This window comes from Homo sapiens, chromosome 2, assembly GCF_000001405.40.
Source record: "Homo sapiens chromosome 2, GRCh38.p14 Primary Assembly".
NCBI classification, from domain to species: Eukaryota; Metazoa; Chordata; class Mammalia; order Primates; family Hominidae; genus Homo; species Homo sapiens.
The window spans coordinates 239,744,038-239,763,309 of record NC_000002.12 but is presented as its reverse complement, the minus strand read 5'-3'; the positions used below and the strand labels follow the sequence as shown (position 1 = coordinate 239,763,309).

The 19,272-nt window shown below is 53.7% G+C and overlaps 1 long non-coding RNA gene across 1 annotated transcript in view, besides 7 other annotated features; it reads right to left on the bottom strand.

Moving 5' to 3' along the window:
• The window catches only part of LOC150935 (uncharacterized), a 37,805-nt gene extending 37,355 nt beyond the window's left edge, over nt 1-450 (bottom strand). Inside the window, exon 1 of the long non-coding RNA NR_037808.1 lies at nt 378-450. This is a non-coding gene — a long non-coding RNA (uncharacterized LOC150935). The remainder of the gene's footprint in view (nt 1-377) is intronic.
• Nucleotides 5,452-6,388: an enhancer, noted in NCBI's record as "H3K4me1 hESC enhancer chr2:240678616-240679552 (GRCh37/hg19 assembly coordinates)". NCBI's record gives its function as "activates a minimal SCP1, AML or CMV promoter by ChIP-STARR-seq in naive H9 embryonic stem cells {active_cell/tissue: H9 hESC(naive)}" and the evidence as "EXISTENCE:reporter gene assay evidence [ECO:0000049][PMID:30033119]".
• Nucleotides 9,792-10,361: an enhancer, noted in NCBI's record as "H3K4me1 hESC enhancer chr2:240674643-240675212 (GRCh37/hg19 assembly coordinates)". NCBI's record gives its function as "activates a minimal SCP1, AML or CMV promoter by ChIP-STARR-seq in naive H9 embryonic stem cells {active_cell/tissue: H9 hESC(naive)}" and the evidence as "EXISTENCE:reporter gene assay evidence [ECO:0000049][PMID:30033119]".
• Nucleotides 11,430-11,499: a silencer, noted in NCBI's record as "silent region_12504". NCBI's record gives its function as "represses an Ori minimal core promoter by ATAC-STARR-seq in GM12878 lymphoblastoid cells {active_cell/tissue: GM12878}" and the evidence as "EXISTENCE:reporter gene assay evidence [ECO:0000049][PMID:35858748]".
• Nucleotides 12,607-13,517: an enhancer, noted in NCBI's record as "H3K4me1 hESC enhancer chr2:240671487-240672397 (GRCh37/hg19 assembly coordinates)". NCBI's record gives its function as "activates a minimal SCP1, AML or CMV promoter by ChIP-STARR-seq in primed H9 embryonic stem cells {active_cell/tissue: H9 hESC(primed)}" and the evidence as "EXISTENCE:reporter gene assay evidence [ECO:0000049][PMID:30033119]".
• Nucleotides 15,253-15,977: an enhancer, noted in NCBI's record as "H3K4me1 hESC enhancer chr2:240669027-240669751 (GRCh37/hg19 assembly coordinates)". NCBI's record gives its function as "activates a minimal SCP1, AML or CMV promoter by ChIP-STARR-seq in primed H9 embryonic stem cells {active_cell/tissue: H9 hESC(primed)}" and the evidence as "EXISTENCE:reporter gene assay evidence [ECO:0000049][PMID:30033119]".
• Nucleotides 15,253-17,075: a biological region, named in NCBI's record as "CDK7 strongly-dependent group 2 enhancer GRCh37_chr2:240667929-240669128".
• Nucleotides 15,876-17,075: an enhancer, noted in NCBI's record as "CDK7 strongly-dependent group 2 enhancer chr2:240667929-240669128 (GRCh37/hg19 assembly coordinates)". NCBI's record gives its function as "activates an origin of replication core promoter dependent on BRD2, BRD4, P300/CBP, MED14 and CDK7 cofactors, with strong dependence on CDK7, by STARR-seq in HCT116 cells {active_cell/tissue: HCT116}" and the evidence as "EXISTENCE:reporter gene assay evidence [ECO:0000049][PMID:35650434]".

Genomic DNA, 19,272 nt, shown 5'->3' with positions numbered 1-19,272 from the left:
TAAAACCTCAGCAGAAAGAAGGTGCATGAAGCAAGCTGCAGATGCTGCAGTTAGCAGGGGGAGTGAGCTGAGGAGGCACTCCTTCCACTCACGGGAACAGCCAGGAGCTGCCAAGTGACACGCTCTGACCAAGGAGAAATAGTGGAAGTTTGCCAGGGACATCTGAGAAAGCTTTTCCTTTCCTCATGGAAATGGCCAAACAGCTGGCACTGCCCTTTGAGACTGGACACAAAGCCTGGAGGAGCAGCAGACATCCCGCAAAGGCGAGAGAAAGGCCGGGAGAGCCACAGAGCCTCTGCTGGGATGTGCAGCTGCTGAGCTGACACCAACCAGCACTGACCCCCAAACCACCTGCCCGGTGAGAAAAACACACTTACTGGTTTACGCCATTGTTTTCCGGGTATTTGATCACATGCAGCCTCATTTATTCCCACATGATGCAGGCTTTTCTGCCTTGATGCAGCCCACAGCCACTCCATCTCAGGGGAGCGATAGACGCAGGAACAGCAACAACAAATTTCAGTCTGTCGACACAGTCGACTTTGTTGCCTCCTGACTGTCCCACACAGCAGGTGCTCCTGGTCCGTGGAAGCCTTCCTTCTGCACTTTTGCCCTCTCCCAGGAGGATGCTGCATTCAGCCGGCAGATGGGAAACATGGGACAGTTATCTATTGACACAGAACAAATCATCCCCACAACTCTGAAGCACAAACCGGTTTGAATGGCTTCAAACCACAAACCGTTATGATCTCACAGTTTCTGTGGGTTGGAAATCCGTGCACAGCTCAACTGAGTGCCTCCATCTTGTATTCTTGGATGAGGATGGAGTGAAGCCCTCAGCAAGGGCTTGGGTTTTATCCGAAGGTTCAACTGGAGAAGGTTCCATGTCTAAGCTCATTCACGGTTGTTGGTAGAATTCAGATCCTCATGGACTCTTGGACTTAGAGCCTTTGTCTCTGGATGACCATTGGCTCCAGTCTGTGCTCAGGCCCTTGCCAGGGGGGCCTCTGCCTGGTGTAGTGCACAGCATGGCAGCTGGCCTCATTAAAGCAAGGGAGGAAGGGAGAGAGGGAGGGTGCTGGGACAAGACAGTGAGAGCAGAACAGAAGCCACTGTCTTTTTATGTCCCATCCCATTACTTCTGCAATGTTCTGTGTAGTCCCCTCCATACTCAAGGAGAGGGGTCCCACAGGGTGTGAATGCCAGGAAGTGGGGATTGCTGGGTATCTCAGAGGCTGCCTCTCACAGGCATAAAGGCAGGCCTGTGCCTTGTTCACCTGTCCTGGGGTGGCACACTTCACTTTTGCTATCTGTCTCATCAGGTGACCACGACTGACCACGGGGACGCTGGGAAGGCAGTCTAGTGGAGGTTCAGGAGCCACAGGATATGGTGAGAAGAGTGACCACAGTCAGGCTCTGCCTCACCAGGTGGAAGCTCCCTTCCTCCAGGACCTGCAAGGCTCCCTGCCCTCATCAGCCCCCCAGCCTATGAGATGCTCTGTCTCACCTGCTGGAAGGTATTTTCCCCTTCATGCTTCTGGCTAAGATAGTTTGTACTTCGGATTCTCGCTCTTCCACTCAAACCTAGGGCTTGGGTTTTTGGAAACAAAATCCATAAATTCTTGCGGGGGATGAGATTTCTGCTTTGACTAAGTCATGACCCTCTGTGAGGCTATAAGCCTGGTGCTGCTGACCACCTGCTTGAATTGGAGGATGGACAGAGAAGGAGAGATTATTGGGGCAAAAGCAGAAGGATGGATGCCCTCCAGGGAACACAGCATAAATTCTAATCCCTCAACCAAGGACTCTGATGGTATCAGGCAAGCCTGTGCTCCCCCACAAATACCTGACCTCTGCTACTCAGGTGGGAGGTGAGTCTTGGAACCACATGCCTTTCCACATCGGGCTGTTGGGAGTGAGTGGGACCCATGTGTTCTGTGGAAACTGAGGCTCTCAACAGAGTCCAGCATCTGGGCGGGGCTGCCTCACTCAGAGGTAAGAACGGGGGTCAGGGTTGATATTCCCTGAGAAAGTAATTTTAAAGTAATGTTGACTTGCTCCAACCAACACCCCCCCAGATATCTTCACCATGCAAAAAGAAAGTTGTGTCTAATGCATGTGTCCCGACAATGAATCACCTCACTGGGGCATCTTAGAATGCCTGGCACACACACCACGTGGCAGCCTGGGTCTCCCCACAGCACTGTTCCAGTCCAGCACACTCATCCAGAACGTGCCACCACTCCCCCCAAGAAGCGAATCTCTTTCTTCTGCTCTTGGAACTCATGAGACTTGATGGCCACCTCATTGAATAAAATGCTGCAGAAGTGACACCATATGACTTCCAAGGCCAGGACATGCAAGATGAGACAGCTTCTTCTTGGACTTCCTTTCTGTCAGGACCTCGATCTTGTAACCAAGCCACCATGTTGTGAGGAAGCCCAAGTGCTCTAGCTGACAGTCCCACCAAGGTCCCTGCCCACAGTCAGCATCAGCCACCCGACATGAGTGAGCATTCAGGCAACTTCAGACCCAGCCCGTAAACCCTCCCTGCTGGTGTCCCCGGCTCGGGGAGGAGCCGTCCCACCCAGCTCTGCTTCAATTGCAGATTCATGAACAAAATAAAGGTTGCCATTGTTATTAGCAGCAAGAGTTGGGATTTGTTACACTGCATTGGATAACAACCATGGCACATGCTCCCTGGCTCACTGGCCCAGGTGAATAACTTGTGACATGTACAGCGAGAGCCACCTGCTTGTGGAAGGGGTGACAGTAGGCAATAAACCAGTGAAACCAAACAGAAGCAGATTCAGTTTAGCACCGTTTTTCCATGGTCTTGCACTCTGACCATGATCTCCTGGGAGGCCAGGGCATAACGATCAAACCATGTGCCCGTAAATGAGGTTGGAAGAGTGGAAGTCATGTCCGGGAAGGAGCACATGAAGACGCTGCAGAATCCTCCGTTTTCATGGCGAGCAGTTCTGGCACAGCCTCCCCGCAGTGTGACACCTCCCTTCTCCGGGAAGGAGCTTCTCCTGCGGGTGGAGATCAGGGCATGTGCCCAGAAGAAAATTGCAACCAATTATGACACTTTAAAAGCTGACAAACACTACAAGCATCACAACATGAAGAAAAATAGCAGCAACAGTCATTTAATAATTATCAGCCTGTTGTACATTTCTCTCCAACTGTTTATCTGTATACTTCTTGATGGTCTCTTCATACAAGTACACAACATCATTTCTATGAAGAAAATGGAAAGATAATCCAGTCTCCTTCAGCATGAGTGACCTCTTTTTTATCTCAGTTGTTGAAAGTTTAGAAAAGTTCATTTTAACTTGGCAGCCCACTATTGGTAATGACGAGAAATTTTAGGATTCTTGTCAAATTTAGGAAAATCTCTATCATATTTCTTTCACACCCAATCTGTAAAATATTAATGCTTTTTATGTTTTCTTGGGTAGTGAATACTCTTAAATACTTTGGATTGATATTTTGAACTAATTTCACTTTTGTTGAACAGATAGAGGGTTTTCAGGTGGCAAAAACTACAAATTCCTTATAAGAATTTTTTCCCATTGGACGGGAACTACACATTAGAGCTCCTGGAACTTCAGTCTTATTAGCTTCATGCAAATTCATCTGAGCTTGTGTGTCCCCAGGCAGGAGAGCCTCTCAGCAGCAAAGTGAGGGCTGTGCCATCGCCCACCACACAGGGCTGTGGAGAGTCAGTGCGGCCGTGCAGGTGCCAGCCCACTCCTAAGTGCTGGGTACAGGTGAGCTTTATCATTACTTACTGTTGTAAACCCTGGCAAATGTCTCCACAAGACTGTAAAGTGAATACTGGCAGCATGTGTTAGAGCAGCCTGTATAGTTCTCCTGCAAAACACAGACCTTGGAAACCTCGGCTCTTTTTTGTTTGTTTGTTTGTTTGTTTTTTTGAGACAGAGTCTCACTCTGTCACCCAGTCTGGAGTTCAGTGATGCGATCTCTGCTCACTGCAACCTCTACCTCCCATATTCAGGTGATTCTCTGGCCTCAGCTCCCCGAGTAGCTGGGACTACAGGCATGCACCACCACGCCCGGCTAATTTTTGTATTTTTAGTAGAGATGGGGTTTCACCATGTTGGCCAGGCTGGTTTCAAACTCCTGACCTCAGGTGATCGGCTTGCCTCAGCCTCCCAAAGTGCTGGGATTACGGGCATGAGCCACTGCCTCAGCCTCCCAAAGTGCTGAGATTACGGGCATGAGCCACTGCACCCGGTCAGCTAACGCTTCAGCTGTCACCCAGTTTTTAAAGGACAGCGCTGTCTTTCCACCCCTAATGGAAGCTAATTTCTTGCTTATAAAGAGTTAACTAGAAATTAGCTTCCACTAGGTGTGGAAAGACAGTGTTGTCCTTTAAAAACTGGGTGACAGCCCTACCAGCACAGCCAAACACACCTATTGGAACGGTTGGTAAAACAGCACACGTGCAGGTGAGGACGCTGCTGGGGGGAGTGCAAAAGGGGGATAGCCTCCTGGAGAGTGGCTTGGCTGTGCCCTAAAACGTCAGCCACATACCACTACATGACTCAGCAGTCTGGGCCCCTGGGCATTTTCTCTAGATAAATAAAAACCTGAACGTGGATGTTTATAGCAACTCTAGTCATAATCACCAAACACTGGAAAAGCCCAAATGCCCTCTAACAGTGGAATAAATGACGGCACATTCGTGTCATGGACCGCTTCCCAGAAATAAAAACAAACTAACTTGATACAGGCGACAACCTGGGGTGGGTCTCAAGGTGTCACGCTGAGTGAAGGTAGCTCTGCACTGTGGGGCTCTGATTCTGCTCCATTCTTGAAGAGACACCACTGGAGGAACGGTAAATAGGTCAGCAGCCCGGGGGTTTCGGTGCAGGAGGGTGTGGCTACACGGAGCAGCAGGGGGGCGTTGTGCGGATGGAATGTGGTGGTGGTTACACAAATCTCTGTGTGCATTAGAACTCACAGAAGCATGCACAGACAATCAACGCTACTGCGGCTCTATTAGTCTGTTCTTTGCTGCTGTAAAGAAATACCTGAGACTAGGTAATTCATAAGGAAAAGAGGTTTAATTGGCTCATAGTTCTGCAGGCTGTACAGGAAGCATGGCTGGGGGGCCTCAGCAAACTTACAGTCATGGCAGAAGGTGAAAGGGAAGCAGGCATGTCGCACGTGGCTGAAGCAGGAGCAAGAGAGACAGCGGGGAGGTGCTGCACTCTTAAACGACCACAACCCGTGAGAACTCACCCACTAAACAGTACTGAGAGGACGGTGCTAAGTCAGGGGAACTCCACCCCCATGATCTGATCACCTCCCACCAGGCCCCACCTCCAACACCGGGCATTACAATTCGACGTGAGATTTGGACGGGGACACAGGTCTAAACCATATCAGTGACAGTGACAACTACACAGCCAGGGGAGCTCCCTTCTGGGCCCAGATGCCCAGGACCTCAACCAAGTAGCTCGCGGGGTAGCGAAGGCGGCATGCCAAGCAGGGTTTAGGCGTCTGAGCCTTGCTCGTTTCAGAAGCACACGTGGTGGAGGAGCAGACAGACTGGGGTCGGGGCTTGCGGGCAACCTCCTCCGAGGGCAGGGCCGGTATCCAGGGGACAGGAGAGAGGGGTAGCCAGGCAGTGCCTCGCAGCCATGGGAGGAGGGAAGGAGTCACGCACGTCTGAGAGGCAAGAAGATTGCCCATGAGGCTGCCTGGCCGGGGACTTGGCAGGGGGAGCCACAAGGGTCCAGGGCCCTGAGCAGCCTCTCGTGTGGTGGCATGGGTCAGGCCTGAGTGGGCAGTGCTTGGAGAGTTGATCCTGAGATGTGGGAAGGTGCTGAGGGCCAAGCCCTCTGAAATGCCAGCAAAGCGCTGCTCATGTGAGAGTGGGAAGTGGGGTCAGGGAGGGGACTGCTGTGTCACCAGGACACCCGGCTGGCTCTCCGGTCCTGGGCCCCTGACCACCTCTCTCCCAGATGCCTCTGTCCACGCTTCCTGAGAGGCGACCCTAGCTTGACAGACAAACCGTTGGAAACCACGAACACCAGGAGGCCTCCCATGCAGAGGGCTGGCCAGGGTCTAAGGAAATTGGAGAGAGATTTTGTCTACCCACACAGAGTCCCTCTGATACGAATCCACTGCAGGATGCGGTGCGGGCCAGGAGCACCCAGCCCCAGCCTGGAGAATCGATGAGAGCGACGGGAGCAGCCCATTTCATGGTATCTATCCCGTGGTACGTGACGTTTCTAATTTTAGACGCAGGTTGTCATGGCAACAGGATGTGTTTTTTTTGTTAAATATAGCAGCTGTTTCAGTCTCACATGCCCTATGGTCAGGAGTATGCTTTTGCTTGGAAAGCACTCGGATATTAGGTGTAAGGAATGAGGAATGAGAAACATTGGCTTTACACAGGAGAATGGAGGAAGCCTGCCTGATAAACAGTGTTTTCAAAGCATCAGCGCAGAGGTCGTGCAACTCCAGGCCGGGGGCTTCCCCCGACTTGCCAGCGCACCAGTGTCTCTGAAATAAGACTGCACTGCAGAAAACCTCACTCCAGCAATGCCCAGGAGTCCAGGCTTTGGGGGCTACCAACAGGGGTCACTGTCTGGGGCCCTCTACACTGGGCACATCACATGAGTTTTGCTGGTCCTGGTCTCTCCATCTGCAGGGCAGAAAGGCACCAGCTCCCAGTGCCCTGGTTCCTGGGCAGATCCTGCACCCACTGGCTCTGGCACCACTTCATAAACGACAGACCCATTTCCGCCGTGAAGAACAATGAACATTGATGCGAGTGAACACAGGGCAGCTTCCTTCCCACGGCCGTGTGTCTCCTGCGAAGGAGGCTAACAGAGCCATGCTCAGGCCTCCCAGGGAGGCTCCACTCACTGACCAAGCAGGCTGGGTCCAGGCCCTTTTAGAGGAAAGGCTGCTTTCCCTGGGCTCCATACAGAGACACTCCTCAAGCACTTTGCCCACTTCTCTATTAAACAGCAAATCCCCCATATTAATTTTCTGTTTCTGCTACAGAAAATTGCCACACATTTAGTGGCTTATGACAGCACGCAGTGATTACTTCATAGCTCTGTTGGCCAGAACTCCAGCTCAGGCTCACTGGGCTAAAATCAAGGTGTCTTCAGGGCAGGGCTGTGTTCCTTCTGTAGGCTGAAAGGGTGAATGCATTTCTTTATCTTTTCCAGTGTCCAGAGGCCACCTACGTTTCTTGGCTTGTGGCCCCTTTATCCATATCTGAGGTCAGCGATAACGCATCTCTCTGACCCTTCTTCCACTGTCGTTTCTCTCTCTGACTGCAGCTGGGAAATGTTCTCCACTTGATGATAACTGGCGACATTCACAGATACTTACATCCCTAAGCAGCTCTCAAAAAATCCTTTAGAAGAGACCATAATCGTCAACGCTTGATCACGCCTGACTTTCATTCTTTCATCCACTCATCCATGCACTTACCCATCCATCCACTCACGCACCCGCATACCTACTCATCTGTTCATCCACCCGTCATTCATACATCCACCTGTACATGCATCTAGCCATCCACCAGCTCTTCCATTCACTCATTTACCTGTCCATCCACCTACCACCCATCCATCTACTCGTCCTTTCATCCACCCATCATTCATACATCCACCTGTACATGCATCTAGCCATCCACCAGCTCTTCCATTCACTCATTTACCTGTCCATCCACCTACCACCCATCCATCTACTCGTCCGTTCATCCACCCATCATTCATACATCCACCTGTACATGCATCTAGCCATCCACCAGCTCTTCCATTCACTCATTTACCTGTCCATCCACCTACCACCCATCCATCTACTCGTCCGTTCATCCACCCATCATTCATACATCCACCTGTACATGCATCTAGCCATCCACCAGCTCTTCCATTCACTCATTTACCTGTCCATCCACCTACCACCCATGCATCTACTCACTTGCCCACCCACCCATCTATCCATCCATCCATCCACTCACCCATCCTTTCATTCATTCACCCATCCATTCACCTATCTATCCATCCCTCCACCATGCATCAGCCCACCCACCCACTACCCATTTATTTGTGCAACCATCTATCCATTCATCTATTCATCCATCCATTTGTCCATTCATCCTTCCACCCATCCATCAACCCATCATCTATCCATCCCATCCCTTTCATCCATCCATTCATCTATCCATCCACCCATTCACACATCCTTTCATCCATTCATGCATCCATCCACCTATCCATCCACCCACCCACCCATCTACGCATCAATCCACCAATCCACTACCCATTTATTTATGCAACCATCTATCCATTCATCTTTCCATCCATCCATTTGTCCACCCATCCATCCACCTACCTATCCATTTATCCCATCCATCCATCCATCCATCCACTCACTCATTCTTTTGTTCATTCATCCATCCATTTATCTATCCATGTACTTATCCATCCACACACCCACCCAAAAATCAATCCACCCATCCACTACCCACTTATTTATGCAACCATCCATCTATTCATCTATCATCCAGTTCTCCACCCATCTATCCATTCATTCATCCACCCATCTATCCATCCATCCCATCCATCCATCCATCCATTCATCTGTTTATTTATCTATCCATCCACCACTTATCAATATCTTACTACAAGCCAGGCCTATGCTAAATTCAGGAGAAAAATAACTGAATAAAATGACTCTTGACCACCAGGAGCTCACATTCTATTGGGGACTAAGGCATGCCAATAAGAAACTTCTACACACCCACACAATTATCTCAGAACAGAATCGTGTGGGGCATGGAAAATTTCTTCAGTTTGGGGAATATGAGCATTATTCAGATGAGACTGCTGCCCCCCAGCAACTGAGATCTAGCTGGAGACTGAGAAATACCAGAAATCATGAGAATACAAGTCAGCGAGAAGTTGTACTAGGAAAGGCCAAAGGGAGGCACAGAACAGGTGTTGTAGCAGTTAACAGGAGGGGGTAATTGTGTCCATCGTCACAATGCCACCCTGGCCTCCCACGGGATAGTTGCTCCTTAAGCTGGCCTGGATTGACCTTTTGAGAAACATTCTCTTCTTGTGCTGTGTCTGCTGACAAAATGTCTTAGAGCAATATTTAGATTTGAAATTCTAGCTTTGGGATATTAATTTCTCTGAATCTAATTTTTCTCATCTATAAAATGGAGATAATTATACTTATTTAAGGAATGTTGTCATGAACACACAAAACAATGTGCACTGAGTGTCTTGCTCCCTGCTTGGTGCCTTCCTTGGTTGATTCACTCAACAGATACCAGTGGACACTTACGAGGGCTGAACATGCTTGGTGGAGAAGAAGCAGGTACACCGTTAATGAGAAGTGTACCTATGTAGGGGCATGAGAGCTAAGAAGGGACAGACAAGTGGCAGCAGTGCACAATGCCGAGGCGACACCTGCTTGGACAGGGCACCAGGAAGATCTCCTTGGACGCAGCACAGCCAGAGGCTGGGGAGGAGCCCGGGCTCCGGGCAGAGGAATGGCGTTGGGCAGTGCCTGACAGGTGCTGGCTTTCTGTATGCCCCTGCCTCCTGCTTGGCCTGGAGTAAGCAGCTGCAATCAGCCCCGGGTCCCTGCGGAGGCTTGGGAGGGGAAAGAGTCATTATGCACATTTTATCGAGTGGAGGATGAGGTCACCGGTGATTGATGCCTCGGTTGCTCCCAACACAGACACGTTGGGGGCTCTGGAAGTCGAAGCCAGTGCCATGAGGACAAGGCTGGGGGGAGACGGCTCCCAGGGCCCCTCCCTCTGTGCTCTGTGAGGACCATTACAAGGAGCGAGGGTAGGCGTCTGGAGCAGGTCCATTAGGCCCCACAACACAGCCCAGATTGATGCCATGGAGGGCGGAATGGAGCAGCAGGGAAGGGGTGGGCCGCTGTCCCCACTGGCCAGACACGGAGAGCACGAAGAACACATGGAGGGGCCCAGGATCTGACTTGAAATGTGCACGGACATCCGGGGGCACTTAGGCCACGTTTCCTCCTGCTTCCATAAGGCTGTGTTTTCAGAACAAGGATGACTATGCTCTCTCCCTGGTCAGGAGAGGATGGCGAGGTGATTCAGAGGAAGCAAAAATTCTCAGGCACTCTCCAAAACGCAGGGCATTGCAATGGCAGATTTACTTCCTGCTTACTCAATACATTAGGTCTAAGCACAGGCCTCCTTGGTGCGTGTTCCCGAGGCCCGTTCCTGAGAACTGCACACCGCAGGCTGAGGTACTGGGAGCGTCCAGATCGGAGGGTGAAGGGGGGACCACAGGGTGTATGTCACCCATCAGGAGGGTGAGGAAATCCCATTATTAGGGGCACATTAAAACCTGAATGAGAATGATGGCCCAACCCTTCCTGAGCTACAAGCTGGGGAACCGGCTTCATGGGACCTCCCAGTACCAGCCAGGCCCTGATGTAGCCTCCAGATTCAACGCTGTGCTGCATTCAGAAAATCTGGTGGACATCTCCAGACACCCCAATCCTGTGGCGTCCAGGCTAAGAGTCTTAACCTCTCAGGGGCTCAGAGAGGTGCAGCCACATGTGCTCAGGCTCACACAGCAGCATGGCCTGAGATGGACAGCCGGCTCCTGAGTTTGGGACCAGGGCTTCGACGCACCAGGACCCACAGAGCACCCTGTGCCCACAGGGCCAGTGTGCTCTCGGGGGCTCCACGTGCAAACCACTGGCCGGCCTGCTGCCACCAGGCCTCTCTCTCCCACTTTCCAGACAGTTGGCCTGCCCCTGTTTGGAAAACAAGTGTGGAAACCCAGCCAGGCCACCTAATGTCTTCCTCATTCACACCCTTCCCTCTCCGGCTCTGTGGGTGATGCTAGAGCTCACGTATTAAACGTTGTCTGTAGAGTTGGTGATTTCTTCCCTAGATTACTCGGATGGTGTTTATTTTTATTCCTTTTGTCCATCGCGCAGTGAGTTTCTTCTCTCTTTAAAAATGCTTCACCCATGAGTTGCTCAAAACAAGGGGCTTCTGCCAGCACCGTTCCTATGCACGGCAGAGTTCCCACGCAGGACAGAGCTCCCACGCAGGGCAGAGTTCCCACGCAGGGCAGAGTTCCCACGCAGGGCAGAGTTCCCATGCGGGGCAGATGTCCAGGAGTCAGCCTGGGCCCGGTCATGGTGGGTGACGTGGGTCTTCATGTAGCCCCGCAGATCCCACCCAGCTGGGCAGAGTCATCCTCAACCCTGGCAGAGTTGGTGCTACCATCTCCACAGCCTGCTCCTGCTGGGAGCGGCAGAGTCGCTCCTGCTTTTGTGGTGACTTCCAGGCTGGCCCAAAACCCCTCTGCTGGGCCTCTGGGTGCCGCGGCCCTCAGCTCAGCCTCCCTTCTTCCCCAAGCCTGCACAGTGCAGGAAGGCTGCCCTTCCCCCTCTCCGCCCACACTGCAGGAAGTACATACCAGCTGCAGAGGGGTAGGAAGGGCCCCGGGCCGCGCTCCAGCGGGCCTGGGGTGCTGGCAGCCAGGATGAGCTTGGTCAGCCCGGGGTTCACCTGGTGTTTCTGTACCAGGGTATGGAGGCAGCACAGAGACGAAGCCCCTAGCTCTGCCCCCGAGACCACCAGAGGGCCTGCACTGCACTACCCCTGCCCTTGGGGACCACTCCTCACACAGAATGGACCCAACGACCCAGCTGTGCGGGCCAACGGCCCCCTCCTCCCTGGCCTGGGTGTCCCCTGGGTGACGTCTACTGCCCGGGCTTTGGAGGTGTAAAGTGACTGTGGCCACGTGCCTGCCCTGTCCAGGAGGGGCTCCCCCATCAGGGAGGGGCTCCTTCCCAGGCCGCAGAGGCCCATCCTCCCCAGGCTTCCTGTACCCTCTGTCTGGGAACCAGCAGCCGCAGCCCCTGTGCCACCCCGGCCATGTGTGGAGGGCAGTGGCTGGGAGCTTGGGGGCAGCATCATGCGGTCCTTCAGATGCCACCTCCCACTTGGTGGGCTTGTTACCTGGCTGAGCCTCAGTTTCCTCGTTGGGATCTTACCTTTCTGCCATGGCTAGGTGAGAATGACCTGAGGTCATGGTGAAGTGGCCTGGCAGGGACAGGGTGGGTGCTAGGATGGGGAAGGTGCCTCCGCTCCTGCCTGAGTCCTGGAACAGGACGGCTCCCTGGGGATCGGGCAGGGGAATGGGGAGGAAGTCGTCCGTGTGAAACCTTGGAGCCTTGTGGAGAGCCGGGCCTGCAGAGGAGAGCTTCAGAGCAGACCCCGGAACCCACCGGACCCACTGGGGTAGACACGGCCACGGAAGAGCTCAGGAGGTCCCCCCAGCAGCCTCTCCCAGGACAAGGCCACATTGTGGTCTTGGGGACCTGGGCAGCCCATTGCCTCTCTCTGTCTTTGGGCTTCACTTGTAAAACACAGAGCCTGGGATGAGCAACAGCTGACGTCTGTGGGAACATTCCGGGGGCTCCTCTCTGGCTCTCTGGGCAAGAAAACCTCCCACAGCCCAGGGACGCTGCCCGAGGAGGCTAGGACAGCCTGGATGTGCCAGGCCCCACGCCCTGGGCTTGCCCTCCAAGTGGAGGTGTCCAGGTGGGGAGGTGGGCATCCAGGGCCTCTCCAGGGCTCCTGCATGTGGGATGTGGATGATCCTCGAGGTGGTCCTGATGGGCGGTCCGGACAGCGCCGCTAGGTAGAGCCTGGGAATGAGTGCGGTGCTCCCAGGAGAATGACCCGCCTGGCTTGGCCCTGCCCAGGGAGATCCCAGGGACAAGCGCCGATGCCTGAGAGGCTGCAAAAGAGACCAGCCCAGCGGGTGTCGAGGGCCTGGGCCCATCCAAAGGCCATGCTCGTTCTGCAGGTGTGAATGGATGTTTGGGAAAGGAGCCCATAGAGGAGAAGAAAGCGGGGAGCTTGGTTGGGGGGTGTGCTGGTGCCAAGGCGGAGCAGGCAGCCTAGAGAGCAAGGGGCAGCCATCAGGGTACAAGGAAGGGGTCTGGACCCCTGGGACGGCGGCTGCAGGATGAGCGCAGGGGACGAGGGGGGCCAGGGCATTGTCACCGTGATGGCTTCCCGAGCTGCTTCCCATCCACCCTCCTGCAAGACCTGCGTGTGGCCCTCCCGCCTCAGACAGCCCCAAGCTTCCAGGCCTGGATCTATGTCTGCCCTGTGTCTGGGGGTGTCCTTGGACGCCGTGAGGAAGGGGGTAAGCGTCCCAGCAGATGGAGAAAGCCCCAGAACTGAGGGCTGTTGCCTCAGCATCTGAAAATGCCTGAATTCTCATCCCAGCTCACAACTGCTTCCTGACAGTCGCTGGTTCGTTGCTACTGCTGTCTGCTTTGCAGTTGTGATGGAGAATAAGAGAGAAATATATTTGTTTGTTTTTTTGGAAGAGAAGCTTACTGTTTGTCCTCCCTAGTCCCTGCTCAGAAGGTAGCATCTCTGCAGCCCTGGCCCCAAGACAGCCTCTACTCTGAGCACCACTAGCAGAGCTGCTCCAGAGGTGCGGGGGCAGCTGCTCCCAGCGGCCCCCAGGAGGCCATGGCTGCTGCAGGTAGTTATTCTAAAGAGCTGCTCCTCCCACTTGCCAGAGCTGAACACAGGTTCTGGGAGCTCCTCCAGCCAAGCAGGAAGATGGGAGATGCTGGCCTTTCCCAGTCCCTGCCTCCAAGGCCCCAGGACTGAGGGGTGAGGGACTGAGCAGGGCTGTGCTGGAGGCCAGGGCTGGGTGACGGGGCCAGAAAGACGGGCCCTGCACGGGGAGAGGGGCAAGCTGTGCAGCCACACATGGTGTCCACTCCTGCTTTCAGGCTCGGTAGCAGATGCTTCGCCAGAGTCGAGACTCCGCCCCTCAGGGGTGGTCTTGGTGCACCCGCAGCCTGGCTGGTGTCTGAAGGAGGGGCTGTCCACCCCCAGGCTGGGTAAATGGCTCTAGTCCTGCAACTTGTCGGGGAGTTAGGCCACAGCTTCTGTCTATGGGGCCCTCTCAGCTCCAGGGATGGCCGGTCAGCACCTCTGGCCACCTTTGGGAGTCTGGGTGCTCACTGAGGATCCCGGCCCACTGCACACCCCGAACAATCAGCTCACGGAATTTGGGGTGAGGGAGCTTCCCCAGGCCCTATGCATAGTCCTGTGTGTCATCAAAGGAGGGGTTTTTACTTCCACGAAGATGTAAAACCTACCAGGGCTTTCTAAACTACCATGCTCGGCCCAGGTGACTCTGCGCGAGCCGGCTGGCCAGTTGTTGCAGATGATGAAGTGGCCAGCCTGGGGTCTCACCCGGCCACCACTCAGCTGGCCTGTAGGCCTAGCCCTGTCACAGCCCAGGGTAGATCAGGGTAGATCAGGGAGGCTGGCTTCCCGGGAAGATCATCCTGAGCAGGGGCCCCTGGGTGGCCTCAGTGGCGAGCACTTTGGCATTGGGTGGAGTCATAGAGCCCAGCTCTGCCCTTGGCTGCCTGAGACTCTTTGGGTAAGGAGCTTATTAGTTCTGAGTTTTGCCTTTCTGTAAAATGGGAACAATGGCGTCTCCTCCAGAAGGTCTTCACAGGGATTAAACGAAAGATCGCATGCGAAGCCCTGGGCACGTGAGTGGAGCATGCACCACATGACAAGATGGTAGTCATGTGTGCAATCAGAAATGTCTGCATCTGCTCAGAACATGGGAGGGAACAGCCCATGTTCCCTCCCCCAGGCAGAGCCAAATTTTCAGAACCAGGGCTCAGAGCTTTGGGGGCAGTTGGGAGCCATTTGTTGAGTGGCATCTGGTTGGTGCAACCATTTTTACTCTGAGTGCAGACCTGTCAGGGGCACGGCCCCCACCACCTGACCACACATTGTCCCCCCACACCGTGCCTGGACAGGCACTCCAAGGACACCCAGACTCTGCTCTGGACCAGAGCCCTCCTCTGTGGACCACCCCCCGCCTTCATTGGCAACACTGACATTCTTCATGGTGGGCTCTGGCCAGGGGTGGGAGCCCACGTGGTGGCTGCATCTGCAGGGCAGGTAGGCCTCAGTTCTTCCACCAGGATCCCCAACACAGTTCAGAGAGGAGAGGCCAGTTGAGCAGATTATTAAGCTAGTTTAAAAACCAAACATTTGCTTTTTGTCTTTGGTTTGTGTCTGTCTTGTTTTGGGGGCTCTGTGAGGAGCAATGTGACTTTCCACACCTCAGAGGCTGCAGAAGGAAAGGCTAAACTCCAGCCCAGGTGAGCACAGGTGAGGAGCAGGTGCGTGCAGGTGAGGGGCAGGCAGGCTGAGTATGGAGCTGCTGCCCAGGTGAGCACAGGTAGGCTGAGTGTGGAGGTGCAGCAGAGGTGTGTGCAGGTGAGGGGCAGGCAGGCTGATTGCGGAGTTGCATGTTCCTGCACTAGTGGTTCTAGCCATGTGGGGTGTGGAAGGCAGGATTCCAGAGTCCCTGGGGTGAAGAGGTTGGAGAGAGAAGGAGCCTTGCGTGGGCGACACAGACTTGAACTTGGTGCCTCTCAAAAGCCCCCCGGACTCTTCCCCCTTGTCTCTGAGAGCCCTGAGGGTGAGCACCTTCTTCAGCTTTGGGCCTGCTCTGGGCCTGGCCCTGACTGTGATTCAGGGGTCCTTGGAGAACTAAATTCTGAGTAGCATGCAAACCTGTCACACGAGAGGGAAGAGACATTCTGACTCTAATGGCAGAACTCACTGGTGGGGGCTGCTGTAGGGTCAGGGCTGGGGTGTGGTGAGCTCCAGGGCGGGGCTTCCGCTGTGGGCAAGCACCGGGCACTGGGCGTGGGCAGAGGTGCTCCGCACAAGGGGAGAGTGGGAGGAAGTCAGGACGCGGGAGCCGTGCAGTCAGACCATCAGGGCGGGGTCCGGGCTGTGAGCACACGTGCTGTTGAGGATGCTGGGGAAGAAGCGGCCACAGGGATGAGGGCAGCAAGCCAGAGCAGCAGGGGACAGGCACTGCGAGACCACACCCACCCCGGCACCTTCCCCTCCTGCTTAGCAGAAATTTGGATGCGGGCTTTTCCCTAAGCAGTGGGTTTTGGAGGTTCCCAACAATTGTGCCTTAGGCTCAAGAGATGGGAAGAAATCAAAATCCCATCGGGGTCACACATTTGGAGGTTTCCGAGTTTCCTGAACACTGGACACAAGCCCAGCCTCCACCTGCTGCTACCATGGCCCAAGCGCCTTCTCCCCAACAACTCCAGGGTCTACTAAGCAGTGGGCACCGCGCCAGGCACCCAGCGGGGCACTGTCAGGGGTGCAGAGATGAACCAGACAGCGTCTGTGCCCTCAAGGAGCTTACCAGAGGCTGGGAACACAAGACAGCTGCCCTGTTCCACGTGTATGGGGTGACATCAGACACAGTCCATCCATTGTCCATTAGAAGCAATCCCCCAACTCCCAGCAGGAGGGCCGGGAGGCTGTGCCGGTTCAGGGGTGCACTGGAACCCCGAGTCCTTTCTCCATCCTACCTCACCTTCCCCCGTGGCTTTGCTTCATCCTAGAACTAGAGCAAGACCACAGCTGCAGCTCCAGCCGGGACAATGCCCTAGGAAGTGGGAAGTGGCTCTCTGCCCAGGAGACCTATTAGACAAACAAACAACAAAACAAAAAAGAAGCTTTTTGTGATGGCAAATTTCAAACATGGACAAAAGTGGAGAGAACCGGAGAATGGGCGCCAGGCCCCACCTCGGCATGTGGGTGGTGCTCCCTCCGCCTGTCCACCCTCCTCTCCTCTCTCCTCATGCCCCAACCCGCCCCCCACACCTGTGGAAAATGCACACTCATTCCTCAGTATCGGGGTTCACATTTTCCTGATGGTCTATCCTTTGTTTTACAGGTTTAAAAACAATTGGAATCAGGACGCAGTTAAGGGCCGTGCATTGTGATTGGTTGGGGTATACGTTTTAGCCTGCAGGTCTCCTTCCACATCTGTTTTTACATTAACTTTTAAAATGTTTTACTACTTATTTGTTTGTTTTTGTGGTGGTGGTTGTTAAAGAAATTGGATCATTTCTCATTTTCTGAGTTTTGCTGAATACATCCCAAGGGTGGCATTCAACCTTTTTCCCTGTCCCCTGTAATTCCTGAAAGCTGTCGACAGGCTCCGCCGGGTATTTTGGGGAGGCTGCGCTTAGACCCTGCTGCTGGCTTTCATCTGGAGGCACGCGGGGTCCTGCTTTCTCTGGGATGTGTGCAGCGGCTGATTAGCTGCCTCGGTTCATGGCTTCCTCGGGGACTGCAAAACAACAATATCCTAACTCTAGGCTTGCTCCTGTGTTTATCAGCTGGAACACTCCCACCAAAACAAACTTCCCTTTCATACCAACTTAGCTGCCCTGAGGGACGGTTTGCATAGAGAAGTCAGTAAAGGCTTCATTTTTATCCTTTACTTATCCGTGTTCAGAGTAATGAGGTGGTTCTCCAGCTGCAGCCGAAGTTGACCAATTATCTTTTTGTTTTCTTATGAACTCATGGATGTAGACACAGTGGCGGTGTTACGATTCATTGCGGCTATCATTCTTATTCTCACTCAATCGTATCTGAAGCTTTGGAACAATGAGGAGATCTTCTGGGGCTTCTCTGACTGGCCCCTCCCCACGCCCACATCTCCTCATCCAGAATCGGGTCTGAAGTCCACGCCTGATCCCCCATCAGCCGGAGAGTGATGACGGAGCCCATCGGACTGAAGCTCTGGGGCTGGGATGGGCCAGCGCCCTGAGGAGTGTGACCACCTGGAGGACGGACACACCTGATCAATATGGAAGGGGATGGAGGGGGAAGGAGACAGGGAGCTGGGGCTGGGAGCCCCTGCCAGGGTGGGCCTCAGGCCTTCTGGGGCATGGGCAGACCAAGTGTATTCATGTGTGGGAGGCCCCTGGAACAGTGCAGGGACAGGGGGGCTCCATAAATACTCCCTGCTGTTACCACTGCTGTGGCCAAAAGCACAGTCATTAAAAAGTCGGCCCTGAATGTGCCGACTGTGAAGAGCCCGCGGACAGGAAAGTGACCCTGTGCCCACCAACAGGCTTCAGAGCGGAGGGTAAAAGTGGAAGCTGGTGGTGCCAGCCTCGAGGACTCAGCGCCGATGCTGTCCCCCAAGTCCCTGGGCTCGGGCGCTCGGGAGCCATGAGGGTGCTCGGAGCCACCTTTCCTCCTCTAAGCTGCTGCTGCCGCAAAGGCGCAGCGCAGGCAGGGAGCAAGGCGGAGGCTGACCTGGCTCTACGACTTCCGGGCAGAGCTGGTCCTGGCTTCCAGACGGCCAGACTCTCAGTGCTGTCTCTCATGGGCCTCACGGGAGGGCAGAGATGCTCCAAGTCCTCTCCGAGTCAGAGAGGCTTCCGATGTGCCTTGTGACAGTGACCCTGCAGTCCTTGGGTGTTCTTGTCCTGTGACAAGTCCCACAGCCTCAGCCTGACTCTCTCCAGGCTCCCCTGCACAGCCCCAGGCCAGAGAGCCTCTGCCAAGCCCCCAAGTGACAGCACTGCCTGTGCCTGACATCCCCAGACACACAGCAGGTGTGCAGATTTATGTTTGTATAGCGATAGATACAGATATTGGTATATAGATAAACATGACTACATTAAACTTATATATGATCATTGCTTCCCAGAAAAATGATGACTATATTCTTTGAATCTGTTTCCGTGCATATGCATATATCTGTATTATATATATATGTATCTTGTACACTCATTCATATATATAATACACACATTTTTATATATCTATAGTTACATATAAATTATATATGTGGGTATATATGCTTGTTTATATTTGCTTATATATTGATGTATTATATTATGTAAAACCATATGTGGTCAAATATAGTTATTGGTACAGTGATAAACAAATATGGCTGTGGACCACATCCCCTATAAATACGAAATTTAACATAGGGCAAGAATGAATAGATTGAAACAGCAGGTACATGTGTGAGCACGTGGAGATCCACATGGGGCTTGGGGGGCCTACCTGCTCATTTCCCGCTTCCTCTTGTTCCTGGGGTCACCACCCTGGGCCTCCTTCCATCTGTGCCCACTGGCATCACGCTGCAGGAATTCCTGGCCTCCAGGTGCATGGATGATGCCATCTCAAGGTCCAGTGCCAGAGTCAGACATGCCGCTCTCATTTGCCATCAGTTCTTTCCATGTGACTCCAAGAGGGGCTCTGTACACACCCTGCAAAGAACTTCTCCCAGAGGAACTTCTCAGTGGTACTTTACACCTCTCCCTCTGACCCCCATTTGGTTTGAGGAACATTCGTTC